Below are 25,940 nucleotides of genomic sequence, written 5' to 3'. Positions count from 1 at the left end.
CCCACCTCCCCTCCAACTCCCCACTACCCTTCTCAGCCTCTGGTAACTATCCTTCTACTCTCTATGACCAGGAGTTCAATAGTTTTGATTTTTAGATGCCACAAATAAGTGAGAACATGAGACGTTTGTCTTTCTTTTCCTAGCTTATTTCATTTAGCATAATGACCTCCAGTTCCATCCACGCTGTTCCAAATGCCTGAATCTCATTCTTTTTCATGGCTGAATAGAACTCCATTGTGTATATATACCACATTTTCTTTATCCATTCCTTTGTTGATGGGCACTGAGGTTGCTTCCAAATCTTAGCCATTGTAAACAGTGCTGCAACAAACATAGGAGTGTGGATATCTTTTCTATATTCTGATTTCCTTTCTTTTGGGTATATACCTAGGAGTGGGATTGTTGGATGATGTAGTAGCTCAATTTTTAGTTTTTTGAGGAACCTCCAAACTGTTCTCCATAGTGGTTGTACTAATATACATTCCACCAACAGTGTACAAGTGTTCCCTTTTCTCCACATCCTTGCCAGTATTTGTTATTACCTGGCTTTGGATATAAGCCATTTTAACTGGGGTGAAATGATATCTCATTGCAGTTTTGATTTGCATTTCTCTGATGATAATGATAAGCACCTTTTCATATGTCTGTTTGCTATTTGTTTTCTTTTGAGAAATGCCTATTCAAATCTTTTGCTCGTTTTTTGATCAAATTATTAGTATTTTTCCTATAGAGTTGTTTTATTTATTTTATTTTATTTTATTTTTATTATTATTATACTTTAAGTTTTAGGGTACATGTGCACAATGTGCAGGTTAGTTACATATGTATACATGTGCCATGCTGGTGTGCTGCACTCATTAACTCGTCATTTAGCATTAGGTATATCTCCTAATGCTATCCCTCCCCCCTCCTCCAACCCCACAACAGTCCCCAGAGTGTGATGTTCCCCTTCCTGTGTCCATGTGTTCTCATTGTTCAATTCCCATCTATGAGTGAGAACATGCGGTGTTTGGTTTTTTGTCCTTGTGACAGTTTACTGAGAATGATGATTTCCAATTTCATCCATGTCCCTACAAAGGACATGAACTCATCATTTTTTATGGGTGCATAGTATTCCATGGTGTATATGTGCCACATTTTCTTAATCCAGTCTATCATTGTTGGACATTTGGGTTGGTTCCAAGTCTTTGCTATTGTGAATAGTGCCGCAATAAACATACGTGTGCATGTGTCTTTATAGCAGCATGATTTATAGTCCTTTGGGTATATACCCAGTAATGGGATGGCTGGCTATAGAGTTGTTTGAACTCCTTATATATTCTGGTTATTAATCCCTTGTCAGATGGGTGGTTTGCAAATATTTTCTCCCATTTGGTGGGTTGTCTCTTCACTTTGTTGACTGTATCCTTTTCTGTGCAGAAGGTTTTTAAACTTGATGTGATCCCATATGTTCATTTTCACTTTGGTTGCCTGTGTTTGTGGAGTATTACTCAAGAAATTTTTGCCCAGACCAATGTCTTAGAGATTTTTCCCAATGTTTTCTTGTAGTAGCTTTATAGTTTGAGGTCTTAAGTCTTTCATCCATTTCGATTTGATTTTTCTATATGGCGAGAGATAGTGGTCTAGTTTCATTCTTTTGCATGTGGATATCTGGTTTTCCCAGCACCATTTATTGAAGGGACTGTCTTTTCCCCAGTGTATGTCTTGGCACCTTTGTTGAAAGTGAGTTCACTGTAGAGTGTGGATTTGTTTTGGGGTTCTCTATTCTGTTTCATTGGTCTATGTTTCTGTTTTTATGCCAGTACCATGCTGTTTTGGTTACTATAGCTCTCTAGTATAATTTGAAGTCAGGTAATGTGATTCCTCCAGTTTTGTGCTTTTTGCTTAGGATCCCTTTGGCTATTCTGGGTCTTTTGTGGTTTCAGATAAATTTTAGGATTCTTTTTTTTCTATTTCTGTGAAGAATGTCATTGGTATTTTGATAGGAATTGCGTTGAATCTGTAGATTGCTTTGGGCAGAATGCACATTTTAACAATATCAATTCTTCCAATCTATGAATATGGAATGTCTTTCCATTTTTTAATGTCCTCTTCAACTTCCTTCATCAGTATTTTATGGTTTTCATTATACAGACTTTTCACATCATTCATTAATTCCTGAGTATTTAATTTTATGTGTGGCTATTGTAACTGGGAGTACTTTCTAAATTTCTTTTTCACATTGCTCACTGTTGGCATATAGAAATGCTACTGATTTTTTTTTTTTTTTTGAGATAGTGTCCAACATGGAGAAGCCCCATCTCTACAATGGGGCTCTAAAAATGCAAAATTAGCCAGGTGTGGTGGCATATGCCTGTAATCCCAGCTACTCCAGAGGCTGAGGCAGGAGAATCGCTTGAACCCGGGAGGCAGAGTTTGCAGTGAGCCGAGATCGCACCACTGCACTCCAGCCTGGGCAACAAGAGCGAAACTCTGTCTCAAAAAAAAAAAAAAAAGAAAGAAAAAGAAAAATAAATCAGAATATTGTTTCCAGCTATTAATAATTCATGGTGCTGCAGACCTCTTGAATCATCATTAAAAGTCAGAAATCTAAGTGAAAATAGTGTTGCTCTTGCATTCAATTGTATTATAAAGCACTTAGCACTGGATATTATGAAGAGTTTTTCTGTGTTCCAAAGTATAGCATATCTTTGGAGGAGTCCAGCATGAGAGCTTAGGATCAGTCCTATCCTGAGACACAGATAGGCATTCTTTGTTTTCTGCAGTGGGATGAGCAGATAGGAAGGACCAGCACCAAGAATCTGACTTGCTCTGGGGGTTGCATGGATGCAGAAGAACCACAGGGAAGGGGTTGGTCCAGCTGCCCAAAAGAAATCTTTGAAGCCCATGCTGACCAGTATCTAGAGTCCAGGACAACAGTTCTATTTACTGCCATACAACACAATAATGCTCACCCAACTTTTATAATCACCACCCTGATTCCAAAACACTCTATGAATAAATGATCATTTGAAAGTTGATAGCTAATGATTAGAGATGGGAGTCAATGACTAGTGAAAAGCTGAAAAACTATGTTATGCATGGTATTCATAATAGCGTAGAAATACTAAAAACAGGTTAACTCTTACAAAGTTACAAAATCACAGCAAAGATATTAAAATAGCACATTACCTTAATGGTACAAGCAATTTCAATTCACCTTAATGAATTTCTTTCTCATGATATTTAATGTACCCCAGATTCTTTTCTAACATTATTTAATTACTACATGAATTCTAAGAAACACTTTAGATCTAGTAAATAATACATCTTGGAAAGATCTAAGTGAATAAATAATACATCTACAAAGATTCAGAAAAATTGAGAATATTCTGTCCATCTGCATGAAGTAATCAGTAGTTCATGCTAGTGGATGACACACAAAAAGGTAAACCATGAAGCCACTTCTCCCAAGTGGCAGGATGGCAGAACACGAATGTCATGGCCCAGGTGAGGCTTACATGCTCTGTCACTACTTTGCTTTTCCAGCAAAATGTATCCTATTCTGCTGTTTGTTTTATACCATTTTCCATCATACTTGTCTATGTACTTGACAAGCAATCAAATGTAATTTTTAATTGCTTTTTAGTCACTAGAATTGCCCATATACGTGACTTCATTTCCCAATAAATGTCTGTAAATCTGTGTCTTTTATGTTCAAAGTAATCCTTTCCCCTAAAATCAACTATGAATTAACTTTCAATGCCTCTGTGTAAAAAAAGTACATAAGACTGTTTCCAACAAAATCAGGGGGCAGCATAAATAGCTGCAATGTGTTAATGAGACAATAACACCACTGACTGCCCACTGCACACTGAACAATTTACACCCTCATCTCATTTAATTTCCTCAATGACATCAGGATTATCCAACAAGGGCAGTCATGTGTCTCAGCAGGTGTATGAAAACCTGTAATGAGGAGTCCAGGAATGGTCAATATTTGGAAATCCAACTAGCCAGGCCAGCAATGGCCTCAGTTTTCTGAGGTTTGCGCTTTGTGAAATAAGCCTGCAGAATAAACCCAGTTGTCCAGCAGTTTCAGCTACCTACTTCTATTCACTTGTGGCTCTACTAGCAAAAGTATTAAAGGATTATGGACATCTTTCCAAAGGCAGTGTACTAGCTAAAGGCACAGAAAGAAGGAGAGAATGAGGCTGGATGGGCTTACTGGGGGCATAACTCATCGTGAGGTTTCCTGATCTGGGTGAGGGATGATGTGTGTGGTATATACTGGATGTGGTATTTCCTTTCTTTTTTCTTAGGTGGATTAAGAGCTGTTTCGTCAGGCCGGGCACGACAAAACAGGGATCACGCCTGTAATCCCAGCACTTTGGGAGGCCGAGGCAGGTAGATCACAAGGTCAGAAGATTGAAACCATCCTGGCTAACATGGTGAAACCCCGTCTCTACTAAAAATACAAAAAATTAGCCGGGCGTGGTGGCAGGCGCCTGTAGTCCCAGCTACTCGGGAGGCTGAGGCAGGAGAATGGCATGAACCCAGGAGGCAGAGCTTGCAGTGAGCCGAGATCACACCAGTGCGCTCCAGCCTGGGCGACAGAGCGAGACTCCATCTCAAAAAAAAAAGAGCTGTTTTGCCTCTGCATCTTCACAACACAGCCTAAAACAGCCTCAAACACAGCCTAAAACAGCACTTTAGGAGGCCAAGGTGGGTGATTACTGGAGCCCAAGAGCTCAAGACTAACCAGGGCAACATGGTGAAACCTCATCTCCACAAAAAATACAAATCAATAAACAAATTAGGTGGGCATGCCGGTGTGTGCTTGCAGTCCCACCTACTCTGGAGGCTGAGGTGGGAGGATTGTTTGAGCCCAGGAGGCAGAGGCTGCAGTGCCACTGCACTTCAGCCTGGGTGACAGAGCAAGAGCCTGTCTCAAAAAAAACAACAACAGCAAAAGATGAACATACGTGCATGTTTATATAATATATAGGTAGATGATATTAGTGTAACTGTATAACACTATGTGAAAAATGAAGCTTTAGTCCCCTTGGAACACACAGGTGAGTATGACTTGTTCCCTGCTTCAAGGGGCTGGTGATCTAGCAGAGATCACAGATGTGGAGCAGGTAAACTAACAAGATAGGCAATGCAACAGGTGCCAGGCCTGTGGAGGCCCAGAGAGGTTGCACCCAGATGGATGAGTTTCCTAGATTTCATTAGCTTCTTCACAAGCGCTTTAGTGCCCAAAGCCAAAGGACAAAGTAAGAGGGAGGAGCATGGAGAGGCCCACAGCAGGAGGACTTACGGGAGATGGGACTGAAGACGAAGTGGTTTCGTGTCCTTCAAATTAGATTGTCTAGGTACTTGTCTTTCCCCTCCACGTAAGATGACTCATTCTTAGTATATTCATGTGTAAAACTGCTTTGGATTTTAGGTACATGGAAGACCAGGATCATGTCACACTAGTGTGTATTGCACAGCATATGACATAGAACTATGTTGAAACAGTGCTTAGCACATGACTTTTGGAGACGACAGAGATATGACCAGGCAGAACTGTCCTCAGGTCAATTTCTAAAGTGCATGAGAGTACTCTGGTTCCCCCAGCCCATCCTCTTGCCTTCTTGTACTCATTCTCCCCCGTCCCTTGGCCCCTCTCTATGTTGCCTTTTAGCTTCTCAGAGCCTCCTTGCTTTGGGTCTCACCCAGACCTGACACCTTTGCCGAGACCTCTCTAAATTAGCCTTTCGTCCCCTCTCCTACCTGTCAAACTGCTCTCTCATCTATCCACCAAGGGGAGGGCTATGTTGTTAAACTAACACTAATGTATGAAAGCCCACATTGCTAGCTAACACTTGTACTATCTCATAAAAGTTAATTTTTAAAAGAGGTGCTTTCAAATTTCAATAAGCAAAGGCTACAGCTGAGATTATTTTCTTTTTGCTTTCCTGGCCTCTGAAGTTATGCTTTCAGGAAACTGCTTTCTGTCTAAGTGTTAACCCAAGCTGGCCCTTAGATGCATTTGTTATGTTCAAGTGCCCTCTGGAGGCAAAAATAGTCTCCTGTTAGATAAAAGACATGCCTGCCAATGACCCACAAATTACTGGCCCCTGTGCTGTGGGGTCCATTCATTCCCGTCTTTGTGCATTCCCAGCACAGCCCTGCCTCAGGGCCTTCAGCTTAGGCATGGAAAATTCTTTGGCCTGGAATAGCTGTCCCAAAGACTGTCCCATGACTGATTCCTTCATACCATCCACTTCAGCTCAGCAGTGCTTTCTCAGCCGTGCACCGCATCTAGCCAAGTCGACCTTCCCATTCTGTCATGTAGCGCTGTTTCCTTGTCTTCCGGCACTCAGCACTATCTGAAATAATCTTCCATTCACTCAACACGTTCATCAAGTGCCTGACCTAGGCCCTGTCTCATGCACTTGGGATAGATCAAGGTACAAATGCAACAAGTTCCCTGCCCTGGCGGAACGTACAGGTCTTGGGAATCACATTGTTTCCTTTTTCATCATCAGCCTCCCCGCTGGAATGTAAGCTCAGTGAGAGTAGGGATCCCTCATCGAGGGGGCAGCCTCATTTACTACCTTATCCCAAGAGCCTGGAACTGTGCCTGGTACATCCTTCATGGTCAATCAATATTTGTGGAATGAATAAACAAATGTTTATATTAGCCAGGCACAATGGCTGAGGTGAGAGGTTAGCTTGAGGCCAGGAGTTGGAGACCAGCCTGAGCAACATAGTGAGACCTCTGTCTCATGAAGAAATTTTTTTAAGTTTATATTTTCTATCAGGATACACAACTAACATTTTAAACTTATTTTGCTGTGACAAAGTTCATTCATTCCATTATCACAAGTCTACAAAATGAGACAAACTGTATACCTCATTATTATTCAAATGATCAATAACAACCATAGTTAGCATTTATTGACCACTAAGTATTAGACACTATAATAGTGCTTTATTTGTATTTTCTCATCTTCACAAAATTTCCTGAGGCAAGTAACACCATTTTTCACTTTTAAGATGAGAAATTTGAGGCTTACAGGAGCTTCTCACTATCACAAAGTCATCAGGTGGGAGAGCCAGCTTTTGAGGACCGGACAGTCGACCCAGAGTCCATGCTGTCAGCCTCCTCCACACAGCTACGTTCACATCAGGAAGTCTGTATTACTCAGCGGCTCCCTCTACCATCCTCTAAAGAAATCCTGCACTCTCTTAGCAGGGCCTGTGAGACCCCTCAAGATCAGCCCTGCCTCCTTCGCTAGTCTCCTTCCCATTACCTCTCCTCCCACCCTGACGGGAGCCCCTGCAGCTCCCAGACACGGCCATGCCTTCCCCCACCTCCTTGCCATCCAATGCTGCGTTTCCTTCTTCCTCCCTGCCTAACTCCTACTCCTACTTCAAGGCTCAGCTCTTGCCCCAAGCTCTAGAACCTTTCCTGGTCCTCTGGGCTGGGTTCTGTGCCCATGCTCTACTGCTCCCAGCCCCCTGTGCCTGGCTTTGTGATTCTCAGTGAACGAAATGAGGTGCGGCTTTTCATCTCCAAATTTCTGGTGCTTAATTGGAACAGAGAGATTGACTAAATACTTTGAATGACAGAGCATTTAAGAATTGGCCATGTTTTACAAATTTAGGCACAGTGAGGCAAACAATCCCATTGTAAATAAGAGGGTTAGTGCTGGGCACGGTGGCTCACACCTGTAATCACAGCACTTTGGGAGGTTTAGATGGGAGGATTGTTTTGAGGCCATGAGTTTGAGAACAGCCTGGTCAATATAGTGAGACCTCCTTCTCTACAAACAAACACACAAACAAAATAATTAAAAATTAGCCAGGCAGGGTGGCACAGGCCTGTGGTCTCAGCTACTTAGGAGGCTGAGGTGGGAGGATCATTTGAGTCTCGGAGCTCAAGGCTGCAGTGAGCTATGGTCACGCCACAGCACTCCAGCCTGGGTGACAGAGCAAGACCTTGTGTCTTAAAAAAATTAAAAAAGGTTAGAATGTGGCCCATGGAAGTCCTCAAAGGTACAATCGCATGAAGCTGAGAAGCAGCAGCATGGAGCAGGGGGTACTCAAAGCATCAACTGGCAGAACCAGATCTTTCCTCTCATTCCCACCCCAAGAGACTTTTCCGATTCATCCAGCTGGAAGCAGAGAGGCTAGGATTTCCCTCTCAGGTGTCTGATCCAGAGCTTGCATGCTAATCTCTAAGGCAATGGCATCTCAACTCTGCTGGACCTTTATTTGTGTGTCCTTTCAATGGTTATATTTGCCTGTGTTTGCCCAGAATAACTAATTTAATGAAAGCATTTTAAAAAGATGTTTATAAATGGCTAAATATCTAGTGATAGGTGCCATACAAATATTTAGATACCAACGGTCTAAATCCAGATTATTTTTACTGGGGGAACCATTATTAATGTAATTATAAAATAGTACATTGTGGAAATGTACACACAAGAGAGAAGGAGAGAGAGAAGAGAAAGAGAGAGAAGCTGCATACACTTGCTATTTCACAACAATGATGCAATCCAACAGTTTACAAAGATAATTCCTTTAGACAGATACTGACTAAAACTCACCAGGGGCAGGGCCCTGGGCCCAGCAAGGAGTTAATCACAGCTCCTGGGCCTCAGCAGGGAACACTGAGTAAGATACAGGTACTTGCCCTTGCTGGGCTTGATAGCTCACAACTGTAATCCCAGTGCTTTGGGAGGCCAAAGCAAGAGGATTGCTTGAGACCAGGAGTTCAAGAGCAGCCTGGGCAACATGGCAAAAACCCATCTCTACAGAAAAATACAAAAATTAGCTGGGGGTGGTGGCGCACGCCTGTAGTCCCAGCCATTCAGGACACGGACATGAACCTGGACCCAGGAGTTCGAGGCTGCAGTGAGCTGTGATCATGCCACTGCACTCAGGCCTGGGTGGCACAGCAAGACTCTGTCTCAAAAAAAAAAGTATTTTCCCTTGAGGTTGGAGCCACAAGGACCATGAGTTTAGCAGGGGCTCCTGCTGGCTGCACCAAGCAACTCTCCCAACACTCACTGCTCTCTTCTGCAGAAACAAACTGCTTCCATTTCCCCAAACATGCTCTGCCGGTTCACACCTCTGTGCCTTTGCATGTTTCCTCTGACTGGGATGCTTGGTCCATGCAGAGTGGACATGTGTCATGTTTTTTGGCTGCCTAGCATTGTTTGAAAACCCCGGCTATGTTCTGGGGATTTCCTAACACACGAGTGAGTCCTACCTCTCCAAGGCAGTTGCCAGAGATCCCAGTCAGCCAGGCTTCTATGCAGAGCAGGGTACAGGCACATGACCCAGCCTCCCTCCATCAGCTGCATCTACATGAGATACCAACTTAGAGATAAGCAATCCAAGGCAGTGGACGCAGTGTGTAAGTGATGTACCGGGCAAAGCTGGTAACGCAGGCACACAGCTTTGGAGGAGCAAAGGATACTGGGCTGTGGCCCTGGTATGAGAAGGGGCAGCATCACAAACCATCACATCCAGAGCTCTAGGGGGGCAGCAGCAGTGGTTTCCACTGCAGGCCAGGACTGCAGTGGGCATAGGGCCTTGGTGCAGGAAGCTATTCACGGCATTCCACCTCCCCATCCAGCAAGCAGAAGAGTCACTCTACAACCTTTTAATCCTTTTAATCAATCTCTTCTGTGCTTCTGTTGATTACAACTAAGAGCCTGGCTTAGTTGCAACTCTCCTGGCCCCTGGAGTAGATGATACACCAACTACATTCATCCTCTTAACAAAGGGCCAGATGCCATTTATGTTGGCACAGAGGTCTCCTGTGGGCCTCCCCTGAAACTTCTATTCCATCCCTCATTCATTCCCTCCAGGGATGCCCCCCTACCCACATGCCTCTTGCTGCATACCCACCCCTGAATTATAGTTCCTGGTTTCTTCCTCCTCTGCTTGGACAATGATTTCTGTTCTTTTCTTTTTTTTTTTTTGAGATTGAGTCTCACTCTGTCACCCAGGCTGGAGTGCAGTGGCGCGATCTCAGCTCACTGTAAGCTCTGCCTCCTGGGTGCACGCCATTCTCCTGCCTCAGCCTCCCAAGTAGCTGGGACTACAGGCACCCGCCACCACACCTGGCTAATTTTTTTTGCACTTTTAGTAGAGACGGGGTTTCACTGTGTTAGCCAGGATGGTCTCGATCTCCTGACCTTGTGATCCACCTGCCTTGGCCTCCCAAAGTGCTGGGGATTAGAGGCGTGAGCCACCGCGCCCGGCGACAGTGATTTCTTTGAGGCTAGCCATTGGCTCTTTCACTTCTGCATTTCCAGCAGTTAGTTTGGGTTGACAGCATCCAGCACAGGATAGGTGCTAAAGGGAAGTTTGTCATGGATAGGAAGGGATGCTCCAATTTGGCTTCTGAGAACCAGGAATCAGAAACAGGTGCTCTCGGGTGGCTGCGTCTAACATAGATTTCAGTGAATGGCAGGGATTTCAACAAGCAGAATTGGTTGGGATCATCCTGCCCATATTGACATGTAATTTGCTTTTTAAAAATTATCATAACCCTCAGCGTTTTTCCATAACCTTAATATGCTGTAGGAGACATTCTCAGTTGCCTAACAACACTTCCCTCACCCTTCTTTTTTTCAGGTGTGAGTGGTGATGTTTCAGGGAAGGTGGTCCCTTCCCACAGCCCCAAGGGGATGAGTCCTCATTGCTCTAAACCAGGGATTGACAAACTACAGCCTGCTAACCAAATCTGGCCTACCACCTGTGTTTGTATGGCCTCATACCATACAAAATGCTTTTTACACTTTTAATTCGCTGGAAAAAGAACCAAAAAAAATGCTTTGTAAGAGGTAAAAAATATATGAAATTCAAATTTCAGTGTCCACAGTGACATTGGAACACAGGCATATGTATTTGTTTCCAGTGTCTCTAGCTGCTTTGGCTCTACAAGAGCAGAGCTGACTAGATGTGACATGGACCCCATGCCCTGCAAAGCCTGAAATATTTACTGGCTGGTCCTCTTCAGAAGAACTTTGCTGACCCTATTCTCAAGCGATCATGCTAACACCAGTCTCCTCTGAGTGTTGATTTTTGGGAGGAGTATGAGACCCATTTCTAAGCCAATGAAACACAAGGGGAAGCCTGACAGAGGGCTGCTGGGAAAGATTGTTTTCTCTGATGAGAGGAAGATATGTGAGTGTGCTTCCTTCCTGCCTTTGGATGTTGCATGTGCGGATGTGATAGGCAGAGCTGTGGCAGCCATCTTGCAGTCATGAGGGAAAGGCTAAGAGACTTACAGAGAAGCTTCCCCAGATACTCTTGAGCTGTTAAATTAATCAGCTCTGGAAACTCCTACTTCTAGAATTTTTTAATTCTAGAATTTAAATTTCTAATCAGCAGCCAAGAACATGTAATGGGAACTAAAATTGCATAATCAAAAGGAAGTTTTCTTCTTTCTTGGTTTTTTTTTTTTTTTTTTTCCCAGATGGAGTTTCGCTCTTGTCGCCCAGGCTGGAGTACAATGGAGCGATCTCAGCTCACTGCAACCTTGGCCTCCCAGGTTCAAGCGATTCTCCTGCCTCAGCCTCCCAAGTAGCTGGGATTACAGGCACCCGCCACCATGCCCGGCTAATTTTTTTTTTTGTATTTTTAGTAGAGACGGGGTTTCACCATGTTGGCCAGGCTGGTCTTGAACTCCTGAAATCAGATGATCCACCAGCCTGGGCCTCCCAAAGTGCTGGGATTACAGGCATGAACCCCCGTGCTGGGCCCCTCTTCTTTCTTATTAACTAAAAATACATTTGAGTCAGAGATGTTTTATGCTCTTGATCTATTTGCAACCCCAATTAACTCACTTTGTTAAAACACGCCCCACGTGGTGTCAGGACCAGGGATACATTTTGTGAAATTATTTCTCCTTTTAGTGTCATTAACCAGTGCATTATGGAATTCTGTAGAATAGCAAATGCTCGCTTTTCCATGCAGCCATTCTGTCTGTCCTCTCACCTCTGACCCACATCACACCTGCCACCCATCACAAAGCCAGTTGCATTGAAGTCTCTGACTTGTGCAATCCCCAGTGTAGCAAACAGTCACCTGGAGCAGAGAGGTCAGTGTGTTGACATGTTTGCTGTCTGGAGCCTACATGTAAAATGCTCTTGAGTTGAGCTACCTCTATAGAGAGCAGTGATCCATGTCCCTAAAATGCTGTTCTCAAGAGGCCATAGGATCCCTAGGAAATTACACTCGGAACAAAGTTTGCAAGGACACTTTCTTGATTTAGTGCCAACCAGGTGATTTTGAAATCAGTTCTCTGAGCATCTGAGAGATAGGAAGCATTTTAACATCAGTATCTTCATTTCTCTTCCTAAAATAAAGACAGCAGAAAGAGCACCGTTGTGGGGGATTTTAAGCTGCTGAGGTGATTTTTATAAAATACTGTGGAAGGAGATCTATCCCGAAAGAAAGAACTTCCAGTTCTTGCAGCTCTCTTGCTTTTAACAAGAATCTCTGGGAGGGAGCACCACACAGTGTAGCGGCTGAGCACCTGACCTTCTGAGTTGGACAGAACTTTATTGAGTCCCCGCTCTTCTCTTCACACCTGTGTAACTTTGGGGAGTGACCTGGCCTCTCTAAGCCTTGGTTTCTCCCTCATCCTCATTCTTCCTGGCCATTGGGCTAGGCAAGAGGACACAGCAAGTAAGTTGGACAGTGGACAAATGGATGAGAGTTTGTGCAAAAAAAGAGGTAACTTTGTAGATTAGGGATTAAAAACCTGAGCAAAATTCAGATTGTTTCTTATAGAACAAATTGAGGCTGATGGTTGCAAAGGGGAGGCGTAGAGAGGAGAAATGTGGAAGGCTCGGCAATGATGAGAGTTTGGAACAGCCCTTGAGGACAGGAGAGGAAGGGGCTCAAGGAAGACAAGACAAAGCATTAGGCTGGGGCCCAATGGCTTGCAGAAAGTACCAAGCGCCCTGCACGGTGGATTCTTCCAGCAGACTGAGCACAGGGGGTTCAGAGGAGCTGGTAATGCAGTCATACTGTGGCTGGGGTTTACAAAAGGTTAAGTGACTCACTAAAGGTCACACAGGGACATTTACACAAACATCCTGGCCCCAAGTCCAGTGCTCTAATCTGTAACCGGGTCTATCCTTTTTTTTTTTTTTTTTTTTTTTTTTTTTTTTGAGACAGGGTCTTGGTCAGTCACACAGGCTGGAGTGCAATGATGTGAACACCGCACACTGCAGCCTCGCCCTTCCAGGCTCAAGTGATCCTCCTGCCTCGGCCTCCCAGTGTTGGGATTATAGGCATGAGCCACCATACTCAGCCAAGTCTGTCCTTAATCAGGGTTCTTTTGGGTCTCATTTTCTTAAGCTGCAAAAGCCACTGGACCAGCTGATACTGCCAACCCCTCTAGGCTGCTGTAACTGTAGTTTCGGCTCCTGGATCTGCTTCCAATTAGTTATGTTCCCTGTCACTTTGGGTAAGTCATCCCAGCTCCACGGCTTGCTTCTGGAACTCAATTATGGTCCAGAAGCCCAAGTTCTAAAGTGCTGATTCTGATGAGTGCCCATTTACCAGGCACTCTGATCCCATCATAGCATCTACTATAGCCTGGGAGGTCTATTCATGTGTGCATTCATGTTAAGCACTATCACCAATCAAATCACTTAAATTGCATAGGTAATAATCCAACAGCACATCCAAACAAGGCTGAAAGTTGTAAAAGAAAATTACACTCTGTGTGTGTGTGTGTGTGTGTGTGTGTGTGTGTGTGTAAGAGACAAGATCTCTCTCTGTCACCCAGGCTGGAGTGCAATGGTGCCATCATAGCTCACCGTGGCCTCCAATTCCTGGCCTCAAGCAATCCTCCTGCCTTGGCCTCCCAAATAGCTAAGACTATAGGCATGTGTCACCACGCCCTGTTTAAGGAAGAAAATTGTGTTGAAAATGAAAATCAATACACAAAGGCTGAACCAAAACAATAGGAGGGCAGTGGCTGCGTGTTATGTTGAGTGGCTGTCTCAAGTAGACCAAGACTCTTCTGACCCTTTGTCTTAGGGCATTAAAGAAAATTACTCTGGGCAGGCCGGGCGCGGTGGCTCATGCCTGTAATCCCAGCATTTGGGAGGCCGAGGCAGAAGGATCACTTGAGGTCAGGAGTTCGAGACCAGTCTGGCCAACATGGTGAAACCCCGTCTCTACCAAAAATATAAAAAATTAGCAGGGTGTGGCCAGGCACGGTGGCTCACGCCTGTAATCCCAGCACTTTGGGAGGCTGAGGCGGGCGGATCACAAGGTCAGGAGATCGAGACCATCCTGGCTAACACGGTGAAACCCTGTCTCTACTAAAAATACAAAAAATTAGCCGGGTGTGGCGGCGTACGCCTGTAGTCCCAGCTGCTGCGGAGGCTGAGGCAGGAGAATGGCGTGAACCCGGGAGGCGGAGCTTGCAGTGTGCCGAAATCGCGCCACTGCACTCCAGCCTGAGCGACAGAGTGAGACTGTGTCAAAACAAAAAGAAAAAAAAGAAAAAGAAAAGAAAAGAAAATTACTCTGGGCAAACAACAGCTTCCTTGAATACTTTCACTTGTTTAATAAAATGTCAGAGAACCACAGATAGAACCTATAATTCCTTAGGGACTACAAGATCAGAGCTGACAGTGTTACGGTTTTCATCAGTGCATTTACAGAAATGGCATCAGATGGATTTCCTTTGGAGAAGGGGATTGGGAAATGCTTTTTTTTTTTTTTTAAACTGGTAATAAAAGAATCTACTTTCCATCTTTACAATTCCAGTATTTTCATACTTAATTTTAACTTACAGCCTTGAATCCCGAGTATAATTTTGTACTCAAATATAAGTTATAATTAAGGACTTGGCCGCCCAACAAGGTCAAATTAACTAAAAACTTAAGTCCTCCCAATCACTGATATTCCCAGCCCCTAGCCCTCATCCCCAGCCCAGCGGACTAACTAGGGTCCGGCCTCAGAAAGGGTCTCGGGGAGCCCAGAGGTAGGAAAGCACCCGGAGACGCAGGCCTCCGCCTTCTCCAGGGTCTGCAGGCAGCGCTGCGCGGGGTCGCCGACTGGGCTGGGCTGGGCTGGGCTGGGCGCGCCGCGGCCTGGCGCCCACTTCCGCTCCTCGGCAGCTGCGGAGCGCCCCGGGCGGAGGGAGAGGGGCGCGGGGCGGGCCTCGGCGCCCAGGCGGCGTGACCTTCCCGGGCGTCCAGGGAAGCGGCGAGAGCTGCCACGCACGTGCCGCGGGACCCGCGCGCCGCCCAGGGATGGCCCGCCGGGGTCGCTGGAGAATCTCAGGGTCATCGGCCTCCTTCCCCCAGTGCCTACCTGGTGGGAACTGTTGTCCTCCTTTGCCCCCAAGTCGTGTCATTTGGCCGCGGGCTTCCGCGCCGCCAGGGCGCCATCGCTGGGCAGCACGGAGCCGCTTCTGAATGGAGACTTGCAGGCTGCCAGACAGTGGGCGGCTGGGCAGGGGCGGCGAGCGTTCAGGGCCGGGCAGAGAAAGTGGGAAATGTCTCCTTAACCTGTTCCTTGCGAGGCCGGGGAGGAGGCGCGCCTGTCCGGGTTCCTTGGCGGCAAAACTGGTTTGCATCCGGGCGCCCTAAAGCCCGGGCTCTGGGGACTAGATGGCGAGCTGGCCGGCAGCTCCTACCGCCCCAGCTTTAGCCAGAAGCTGGGATCTTCCCGCAGCAGTTAGTGTTCCCTGGTGGAAAATGCGGCCTCATCTGACTCTACCGTCCAAAAAAGTTTTTTCCCCAAGGATCGAGAAGGACGGGTGGTCAGCGCTGTTGTTTTCTCAATCGAACCCTGGTGTAGTGTGAGAGGGATCAAAGGCGCTGAAGAGTTTTTCTATTCCAAGTGCTACAGCAAGCTCATAAATCAGTTCTAATTCATGCTGAACAGTCTTGCCTCCTCCAAGCCCTGTTTCTTCTCCCAGCTAGAGCTACACATAACCTGAATTAACCCGTTAACTACCCACTCCTGAGTGAATCTGTTAGTACCCACCATTGTTTTCTATCTTAATAATTCCAGAAGTGGTTATTTGTAGAATTTAATGTGTTTAAGTTTGGCTCACCTAACGGGGTTGAATTCACACGGGCAGACAGAATGCAATGTGATGTGACTTTCATTCCTTCCAAGTTACAAAGGAAGTGGCTGCGCCAAAAGAAACAAACGCATTGAGGTTTATCTGGGAGGCCAGACTGGACATGCCCTGTCTTCTCAGTTGCCTTTGTTTTTTTCCTTCCTCCTTTTTCCTTTTTTTTTTTTTTTTCCTAAAATGCAGGGTTGGGTGTTTTGTGATGTTTTTGCCCAGGTTGGAATACTCGGATCAAGTATTGGTTTGTAGGCACAGACCTGAAGGACAGGACTGAACTGGCTCCTCTGTCACTGACTAGTTGTGTGGCCTAGGAGACCTTGTCTTGCTCTGGCCTTAGTTTGCCTTCTGGAAAAGGATTAGGACCCTGATATACTTTTTTAGGAAGATACCAGATGGCCATCACCTTTTCAGCCTAGTAAATGGTCCTGTCTCTCCAGGTCTATCAACAGCATATAAATCAGTGTCTTGCACTTCTAACTTAGCTGCTTTGTTAAGTACTGTGCCTTTGTTGCCATTGGTTTTAAATTTTTTTTGTAAATTAAGGAAGATTCTTGAAGTCTGGTCATTGGCAAAATGCTTCAAGTAGTTAAAAAATCTTCTCGGTGGCCACTGTTTTCTGTTGACGTTCAGGATGACACTGGTGTTAGGAAGTCACTTGGTGTTCATCTCTGATCCAGCACGACTGGGGTCACGCGGCTCCTCAGTGCGATGACAAATAAATTGTTCCTTATTATTCACAAAGAAGTTACTTGAAAATTATACAGGATTGGTTGTTGAACTGGATATTTTAGTCAACATTTATGAAACCCATGCCTCAGCAATAGTTGACTTTTGTCTAAAGGGAGAGGAATACATTCTAGTTTTCCCAAATGCCCAAGGCTCCAACCGAAACATACTGAATCAAGATTTCCAGAAGAAAGGCCTGATAATTAGAATATTTAATACGTGCTCCAGGCTGGGCAAGGTGGTTCACACTTGTAATCTCAGCACTTTGGGAGGCTGAGGTGGGTGGATCACTGAAGGTCAGGAGTTCAAGACCAGCCTGGCCAACATGGTGAAACTCCGTCTCTACTATAAATATAAAAATTAGCCTGGTGCAGTGGCATGCACCTGTAATCTCAGCTACTTGGGAGGCTGAGGCAGGAGAATCACTTGAACTCCGGAGGTGGCAGTTGCAGTGAGCTGAGATCGTGGCCGTTGCACTCCAGCCTGGGCGACAGAGCCAGACTCCATCACAAAAAAAAAGGGGGGGGGTGGGGGGTGCTTCAGGTTATCAAGCAAATTTGGACACAATGACCGAGGTGTTGTATTTCAAAGTGTGAGTCCGTGGACTGGCATTGTCCATCTCACTCGGGAGCTCATCAAGACGCCAAATCTCTGGTCCCATCCGAGGCTATTGAATCAGAAGCTGCATTTTATTTAGCAAGGCCCCCAGGCGACTCCTGTGCACATTGACAGTTGAAGGGCTAGTGGACTGTGGTCACAGGAAGATGCTTGGTGCTCTGTGCAGGGCCTTGTTCTGAGAACACATGATGCTTGTGCACAGTGGAGCATCCCATCAGTCTCATGTGGCTATTTGCGACTGCCTTTGTTTTGTAATAGTGTTATTATTTGCCTTGTACAGATGAGGACTCCCAGCTGTAGAGGCCAAAGGGGCCACAGGTAGAGGAGGCATTCACACCAAGGCGTGTGTGATTCCAGGGTGCAGCTCTCACCCTTGGCTGCCTGAGTGCTCCTTTCCAGACCTACTGTCTTGTGACATCCCCTTAGGCACCCAGCACAGGCTGCTGTCTGATTTTAGAACTGAGCCTATTCAATTGATAGCTCAACTTAGGCCTGTAAAAACAGTCTGCTGTGGTTTGGTACATCTGTGGTTGGCTTGTTTGGTGTTCATTTTACAGTTTTCAGAAAGGTTGGTTGAAGTGCTATTGGTGACAATAGCATTGATACGCAGGGAAGCTTTTTGATCTGTGACCTTTTTAGGGGGCAGTCACTTGCTAAGCTGCACTGATACTTTGAGCCCGTTTCCTTTGCAGCAATGTAGAGCCCAGTTCATGGATCCCAGAAGTTTAGGTTCAGTAATTTGGCTGCAGGCCTAGAGAACGGGAGGCTGCAGAGACTTGGACTAATGGTGAACTCTTGCCTCCCCCCAGGATATGTGGTGCCTGTCATAAGGTCCAGCGAGCTGCCTTCCACGAGACCAGCAGAAGAGTGGGCAAACGTGAAGTCCAGTCCTGCTGCCCAGGCTGCCATTGACCTCACGGCGGGGGCTGCAGGTACAGTCATGCGCTGCATAAACATGTTTCTGTCGGTGATGGACGGTGTATGTGGTCATGGTCCCATGAGATTATATCACCATATTTTCACTATACCTTTTCTGTGTTTAGATATGTTTAGATACACAAATACTTACCACTGTGTTACAGTTGCCTACAGTATTCAGTACTGTAACATGCTGCACAGGTGTGTAGCCTAGGAGCAGTGGGCCATACCGTACAGCCTAGGTGTGGAGTAGGCTATGCCACCTAGGGTCGTGTGTGTATGCTCTATGATAACACAATGACGAAATTGTGTAACGACGCATTTTTCAGAACACGTCCCAGTCACTAAGTGATGCCTAACTATAATCCCAGAGAAAACCCAGTCCTCTTTATTCCTCAAGCACCTTCTAAATGAGATCAAATGAAAGTAGTATGAAAATATTACCTTTCATCCGGGTGCAGTGGCTCACGCCTGTAATCCCCGCACTTTGGGAGGCCGAGGCGGGTGGATCACTTGAAGTCAGGAGTTCGAAACCAGTCTGGCCAACGTGGTGAAACCCCGTTTCTACCAAAAAATACTAAAAAGTAGCCGGGCATGGTGGCAGGCACCTGTAATCCCAGCTACTTGGGAGGCTGAGGCAGGAGAATCGCTTGAACCCGGGAGACGGAGGTTGCAGTGAGCCGAGATCGCGCCATTGCACTCCAGCCTGGGCAACACAGCAAGACTCAATCTCAAAAAAAAAAAAAAAAAGATACTACCTTTCTCCTTCCAGAAGCAATGTGCTTTACCTTTGGGATGAATCCATTTGATGCATAGTGTAGTGTTGTTCAAAGCATGGCAGAAGACAGAGTAGTGTCCATTATTATTAACACCTTGTGAGTCAGGGTGAGGGGTGGAATGTGCCCAGTACTGCTGGAATACAGCTCAGAGATGAAGCCCCTTGTCCATTGTCACCTGACTGGGATAGGCAGGTGATGTGGTTCTTCACTTCAAGCCTGGCAGTCTTCAGAACCCTTGTAGTGCAAAAATAACACCATACAGTCCCTCCCAGGAAACGCCACTTACTGTCCTTACTAGTGTTGGGAAAGAAAGGAGGACATTCTTAGAAATGTCTTTAAAAATGAGACTGATAATGGACTGTGTCTTAGAGCCATGAAAGGAAAGGAGAAGTTGTAGGATTTGCTGGGAATGTCAACTAACCAGAGCCTAGTGGCCTGAGCCCAAGGGCAGGCTGAAGCTTCCTTGGCACAGGAGGGTGCTGCCTGTGATACGGGGGGCAGTGCTGGCACCATGCAAGCTACTCCTTAGAAAGATCAGCTTGAATATGCAGGAAGAGCAGGACCCTCGGCTGAGGCACATGGCGGAATGGGAAGTGCATGGTGGTAATTTAGTTCTCCAGAGTTCTTGTTGTCTTGGGACCAGGAGGCACGGTTGGAATGCCGATTGCCCAAAGGGAAACCGTGGACTACTATGGCCTCCCACAGAATTCCCATAGTGGTTGCAGCTCCCTGGACTGGGGAGGCCAGAGGGGGCGTTGCCCAATGCTCTCCTTATCCAGGACACCCCCTACCCACCACCACCAAAGATGAGTATGGTCATGAGTGTGGCCACCTCTCATCCAGTCATTAGCTCAATTGGGAAAAGAAATTGTTGCTCAGAGAAGAGCAAAGTGTTTTTCTATGAGCCAAAGTTTGGCCAAGGTATGCTAATGAGGAGCACTAGAGAGAATGCCTCACAAACACTGATAAGGAGCACTGGGAAGGGCACTTCTCCCAGGACAGAGCTCACAAGGAGTGTCCTGGCCCCAGAAGCAGGAGAACCGAAGGCTGGCAGGAGTCTGCCCAGTAGTCTCTGCAGTGCCCAGTAGGCACTGCGTGCCTTCAGGCTACAGCCTCCCAGGCCCTGTGCCCCATCTTCTGCCCCACACCACACTGGGGAGGAGGCTGACCCTGAGAATGGTGCAACCATCTGCCTGCCCCTGGGCGCCTCTCACCAGCAGGTGAATGCTGTTGGGCTCAGTTCTGTCTGCAGTAGGAGGGTGTTTAGCCACATGAGAGAGTCTCACCTTTGACATTTTATATCCTTCAGTCAGTCTATCAAAGATCTAGAATTTATAGTGATAGAATTAAAAAGTTTACCTTTTCCTACTTATGGGCATACAGGTATTTGGGTGCCATCTTTATAATTTACAATTAGTTTGAAAGATAGAAATTGCAACCGTATGGTTGGGAGCCTGGTATGTAAGGCATTTGCTGGTGGGCATGTTTTGAACATGTATTGGGCCTTTATACATACTGTCACTTAACTGTTCCCATCACCATTGGACAGGTATTTCTCCCTGTGCTGGCAACACAGGCACACCCCTCACCAAGGTAGAGCTGCCACAGGTAGTCTAACTCCAGAGAACAACAAACCCCTTTGCTGGGGGGAAGGGATGGGAGGAGGAACAAGACTTGAGAGGCGGCTGGGCAGAGGACACAGAAACCTCCGTTCTACTGTGAGGCCCGAGGAATGCAAATGGAAAGTAGGACTCCCACTTATGAGATCTTGTAGAAAAGAGGCCCAGAGAATGGGCAGTAGATTTGTTCAAGGTTATACAGCTAGATGGTGTGAAGACAGGGCAGCACTGTGGTCCCTGGGTCCCTTGTCTGATGTTGTTGCCGTCTCTGCGTTAGTGCTCCCTAATGGGTCTGTGGTGTGCCCGGATGTAAGGGTTGGTTTGGAGCATTTCCAGCCTGGCTCTCTGGACGTGGAACTTGCTGGACTTTGGGATTTTTCTGTCAGCCATTGATAGGAGCAGAGTGTTGTTGTGTTTTGTGGCAGAAACCACCCATGGAAGTGATCGACTGTAAGCACAGAGCCAGCTGCAGCCCGAGGTGATGTGGATGGAGCCTAAATGTGTTGTTCTGTGTGTCTCTCCTTTTCCTTTTAAACAAAGTTTCCCTCACCACAAAGGTTTTCAGCCAGCTCATCTACTCTCAAGTGCTGGGAAGTTCGTATTTCCCTATCTGCAGTGGCTGTAAGAGATCTAGAGACCTAGAGAGCTAGTATGAAGGAGGATTTGAAGAAGTTAGTTAGGTAATTAGATAATTATTGAAACGAGGCAACATGGATACCGAAAGTTAAACAGTCTTAAAGGGAAACTTGGTACCACTTTAAGACTTAGTCATTCAACAACTCTGAAACAATGCAGTCACTACTTTGAGTACTGTTGCAGTGTGCCTTGTTTGGCATAGTTGGGGAATGTGGCATTTCAGATCATTGAAGTTTATCCCATCAAATGCCAAAATTAAAAACAACCCCAAACCTTTTTGGATTGGAGTTTCTTGAAAATGATATGCTTCCCTGCCCTGTTAAATTGAACCTTTATGGATGGCCTCCAGAGGGGTGTGAGGGTGTCATCTCTGCTTGGGTGGGCCTGGTCCTGTGATGTGAGTCTGCGTCTGTCTTCTCACCTCTCTGCCCTCTTCTTCAGAGCTGTCCCTTCCTTGAGACACTGTCCCTGCCCTGATAGGTTTCCTCTATATCTCATGATTTACCAACTCTATGTCAAGGACTGAAAATCCAAACCACCACCCTTGGTAAAGTGTTACGTATGACATAGTGTGAGTGCTGTGGAATAAGAGGCTTGGCTGGCCACCACACCGCCTAAAGAATGTTTTTATGTGTCTTGTAAGGAGAATAAGATCAGACTTCTGATCTTATTCTAGGCAAGGGGAGAAATATAATCTCTGTCATTTATTCATGGCTTTATGGACTTGATAGATCTTTGAGAACCTACTAGGTGTCAGGCTCCGTGGTTAGTACTGGCATTCAGAACAGTCTTCACTCACTTGAGGGCATAGTGAGTACCATGATGATGTCATCAGTGGTAAATTACATGGGAAGGTAGCTTACCCTCACAGAGGACGGGAGACAGTTGTTGCTAGCATTTGTATATTCATTAGTCTCCCACATCCTCCCAGTTGGGAATGTAACTGTCCCAGATAGACAGCATATGTGTATTGTAGGAACCTGTAATGCCCGAACTGTTCAGGATGATCACATTAAAATATTAATGTGCTGAGTTAAATGCTTTATTCAGCTTATCTGCATCGAGGCTATCTAAACTATGCAGCCACTTAAAAAATTCTGACCATCACCTCTTCTCTTGGAATAATTAAATTATTTTGATGTAATTCAGATCTCATTTTATCATAGCCCAGCAGTACCTGGGAGAGAATGACTCTAAATTTATGATAGTAAAATCACATTAAATTGTATTTCACTAATTCAGAAATGGGGATAATCTGACAATTAAAGGCAGAAGTGTGTCATTCCTCTCCTAGAAGAAATGAACAGTAATGATGGCATCACAGAGATTGTATTGCTTGTTGCTTAAAAAAGCGATCAAGCAGTTTTCAGACTCTTTGGAAAAGTTGGTTTATCTGCCAAGAAATAATTGAGAATTATTCTTAATGGCCCCTCCCCCAACTCCACTTTTCAGACTTTAGATGGAATAACTATGCATAATGTCAAAGTCAGGAAGTTGCATTTTTTTAATTATACTTTAAGTTCTGGGGTATATGCGCAGAATGTGAAGTTTTGTTACATAGGTGTACACATGCCACGGTGGTTTGCTGCACCCCTCAACCTGTCATTTACATTAGGTATTTCTCCTACTGTTATCCCTACCCTAGCCCCTCACCCCCCAACAGACCCCAGTGTGTGATGTTCCCCTCCCTATGTCCACGTGTTTTCTTTGTTCAACTCTCACCTGTGAGTGAGAACATGTGGTGTTTGGTTTTCTGATCTTGTGATAGTTTGCTGAGGATGATGGTTTCCAGCTTCACACATGTCCCTGCAAAGGACATAAATTCATCCTTTTTAATGGTTGCGTAGTATTTCATGGTATACATTTGCCACATTTTCTTTATCCAGTCTATTACTGATGGACATTTGGGTTGGTTCCAAGTCTTTGGTATTGTGAATAGTGCCACAATAAACACACCTGTGCATGTGTCTTTATAGTGGAATGATTTATAATCCTTTGGGTATATACCCAGTAATGAGATTGCTGGGTCAAATGGTATTTCTAGTTACAGATCCTTGAGGAAACGCCACACTACCTTCCACAATGGTTGAACTAATTTACACTCCCACCAACAGTGTAAAAGCGTCCTTATTTCTCCACATCCTCTCCAGCATCTGTTGTTTCCTGACTTTTTAATGATCACCATTCTAACTGGCATGAGATGGTATCTCATTGTGGTTTTGATTTGCATTTCTCTAATGACCAGTGATGATGAGCATTTTTCCATATGTCTGTTGGCTGCATAAAAGTCTTCCTTTGAGAAGTGTCTGTTTATATCCTTTGCCCACTTTTTGATGGGGTTTTGGTTTTTTCTTGTCAATTTCTTGTAAATTTTCTCGTAAAGTTCTTTGTAGATTCTGGATATTAGCCCTGTGTCCAATGGATAGATTGCAAAAATTGTCTCCCATTCTGTAGGTTGCCTGTTCACTCTGATGATAGTTTCTTTTGCTGCGCAGAAGCTCTTTAATTAGATCCCATTTGTTAATTTTTGCTTTCGTTGCCATTGCTTTTGGTGTTTTAGACATGAAGTCTCTGCCCATGCCTATGTCCTGAATAGTATTGCCCCAGTTTTTTTCTAGAATTTTTACAGTCCTAGGCCTTACGTTTAAGTCTCTGATCCATCTTGAATTGATTTTTGTATAAGGTGTAAGGAAGGGGTAAAGAGATCAATGCAGCAAGAAGAGCTAACTATCCTAAATATATATGCACCCAATATAGGAGCACACAGATTCATAAGGCAAGTTCTTAAGAGACCTACAAAGAGACTTAGACTCCCACACAATAATAGTGGGAGACTTTAACACCCCACTGTCAATATTAGACAGATCAACGAGACAGAAAGTTAACAAGGATATTCAGGACTTGAACTCAGTTCTGGACGAAGCGGACCTAATAGACATCTATAGAACTCTCCACCCCAAGTCCACAGAATATACATTCTTTTCAGCACCTCATTGCAGTTATTCTAAAATGGGCCAAATAACTGGAAGTAAAACACTCCTCAGCAAATGCAAAACAATGGAAATCATAACAAACAGTCTCTCAGATCACACTGCAATCAGATTAGAACTCAGGATTAGGAAACTCACTCAAAACCGCACAACTACATGGAAACTGAACAACCTGCTCTGGAATGACTATTGGGTAAATAACGAAATGAAGGCAGAAATAAAGATGTTCTTTGAAACCAATGAGAACAAAGACACAACATACCAGAATCTCTGGGACACATTTAAAGCAGTGTGTAGAGGGAAATTTATAGCACTAAATGCCCACAAGAGAAAGCAGGAAAGATCTAAAATTGACACCCTAATATCAAAATTAAAAGACTAGAGAAGCAGCAGCAAACAAATTCAAAATCTACCAGAAGACAAGAAATAACTAAGACCATAGCAGAACTGAAGGAGATAGAGACACGAAAAACGCTTCAAAAAATCAATGAATCCAGGAGCTGGTTTTATGAAAAGATCAACAAAGTAGATAGACTGCTAGACAGACTCATAAAGAAGAAAAGAGAGAAGAGTCAAATAGATGCAATAAAAAATGATATAGGGGATATTGTCACTGATCCCGCAGAAATACAAACTACCATCAAAGAATACTATAAACGTCTCTATGCAAATGAACTAGAAAATCTAGAAGAAATGGATAAATTCCTGGCAACATACAGCCTCCACAGTCTAAACCAGGAAGAAGTCGAATCCCTGAATAAACCAGTAACCAGTTCTGAAGTTGAGGCAGTAACTAATAGCCTACCAACCAAAAAAAGTCCAGGACCAGATGGATTCACAGGTAAATTCTACCAGAGGTACAAAGAGAAACTGGTACCAATCCTTCTGAAACTATTCTAAACAATAGAAAAAGAGGGAATCCTCCCTACTTCGTTTTATGAGGCCAGCATCATTCTGATACCAAAACCTGGCAGAGACACAACAAAAAAAGGAAATTTCAGGCCGATATCCCTGATGAACATAGATGTGAAAATTCTCAATGAAATACTGGCAAACCGAATCCAGCAGCACATCAAAAAGCTTATCCACTACGATCAAGTCGGCTTCATCCCTGGGATGGAAGGCTGGTACAACATATGCAAATCAATAAACATAATCCATCACATAAACAGAACCAGTGACAAAAACCACATGATTATCTCAATAGATGCAGAAAAGGCCTTTGACAAAATTCAACACCCCTTCATGCTAAAAACTCTCAGTAAACTAGGTATCAGTGAAACATATCTGAAAATAATAACAGCTATTTATGACAGACCCACAGCCAATATCATACTGAATGGGCAAAAACTGGAAGCATTCACTTTGAAAACTGGCACAAGACAAGGATGCCCTCTCTCACCACTCCTATTCAACATAGTATTATTGGAAGTTCTGGCCACGGCAATCAGGCAAGAGAAAGAAATAAAGCATATTCCAATAGGAAGAGAGGAAGTAAAATTGTCTCTGTTTGCAGATGACGTGATTGTATATTTAGAAAACC

At 44.8% G+C, this 25,940-nt stretch overlaps 1 long non-coding RNA gene across 2 annotated transcripts in view; it reads left to right on the top strand.

Annotated features, from left to right (window-relative positions):
- The first annotated feature begins 14,952 nt into the window (after window positions 1-14,952).
- Window positions 14,953-25,940, top strand: part of LINC00345 (long intergenic non-protein coding RNA 345) — a 118,126-nt gene continuing 107,138 nt past the window's right edge. The window contains exons 1-2 of one of the 2 annotated variants that reach the window (NR_184202.1): window positions 14,953-15,007; window positions 18,265-18,387. This is a non-coding gene — a long non-coding RNA (long intergenic non-protein coding RNA 345). Of the gene's footprint in view, window positions 15,008-15,196; window positions 15,343-18,264; window positions 18,388-25,940 lie in introns of those variants that run through there. The other variant, NR_184203.1, reaches the window with a different exon arrangement.

The sequence above is a fragment of the Homo sapiens genome, chromosome 13 (assembly GCF_000001405.40).
Source record: "Homo sapiens chromosome 13, GRCh38.p14 Primary Assembly".
In the NCBI taxonomy this organism is placed as follows: Eukaryota; Metazoa; Chordata; class Mammalia; order Primates; family Hominidae; genus Homo; species Homo sapiens.
The sequence above is the reverse complement of the archived record's forward strand: the minus strand, read 5'-3'. Positions and strand labels throughout refer to the sequence as shown.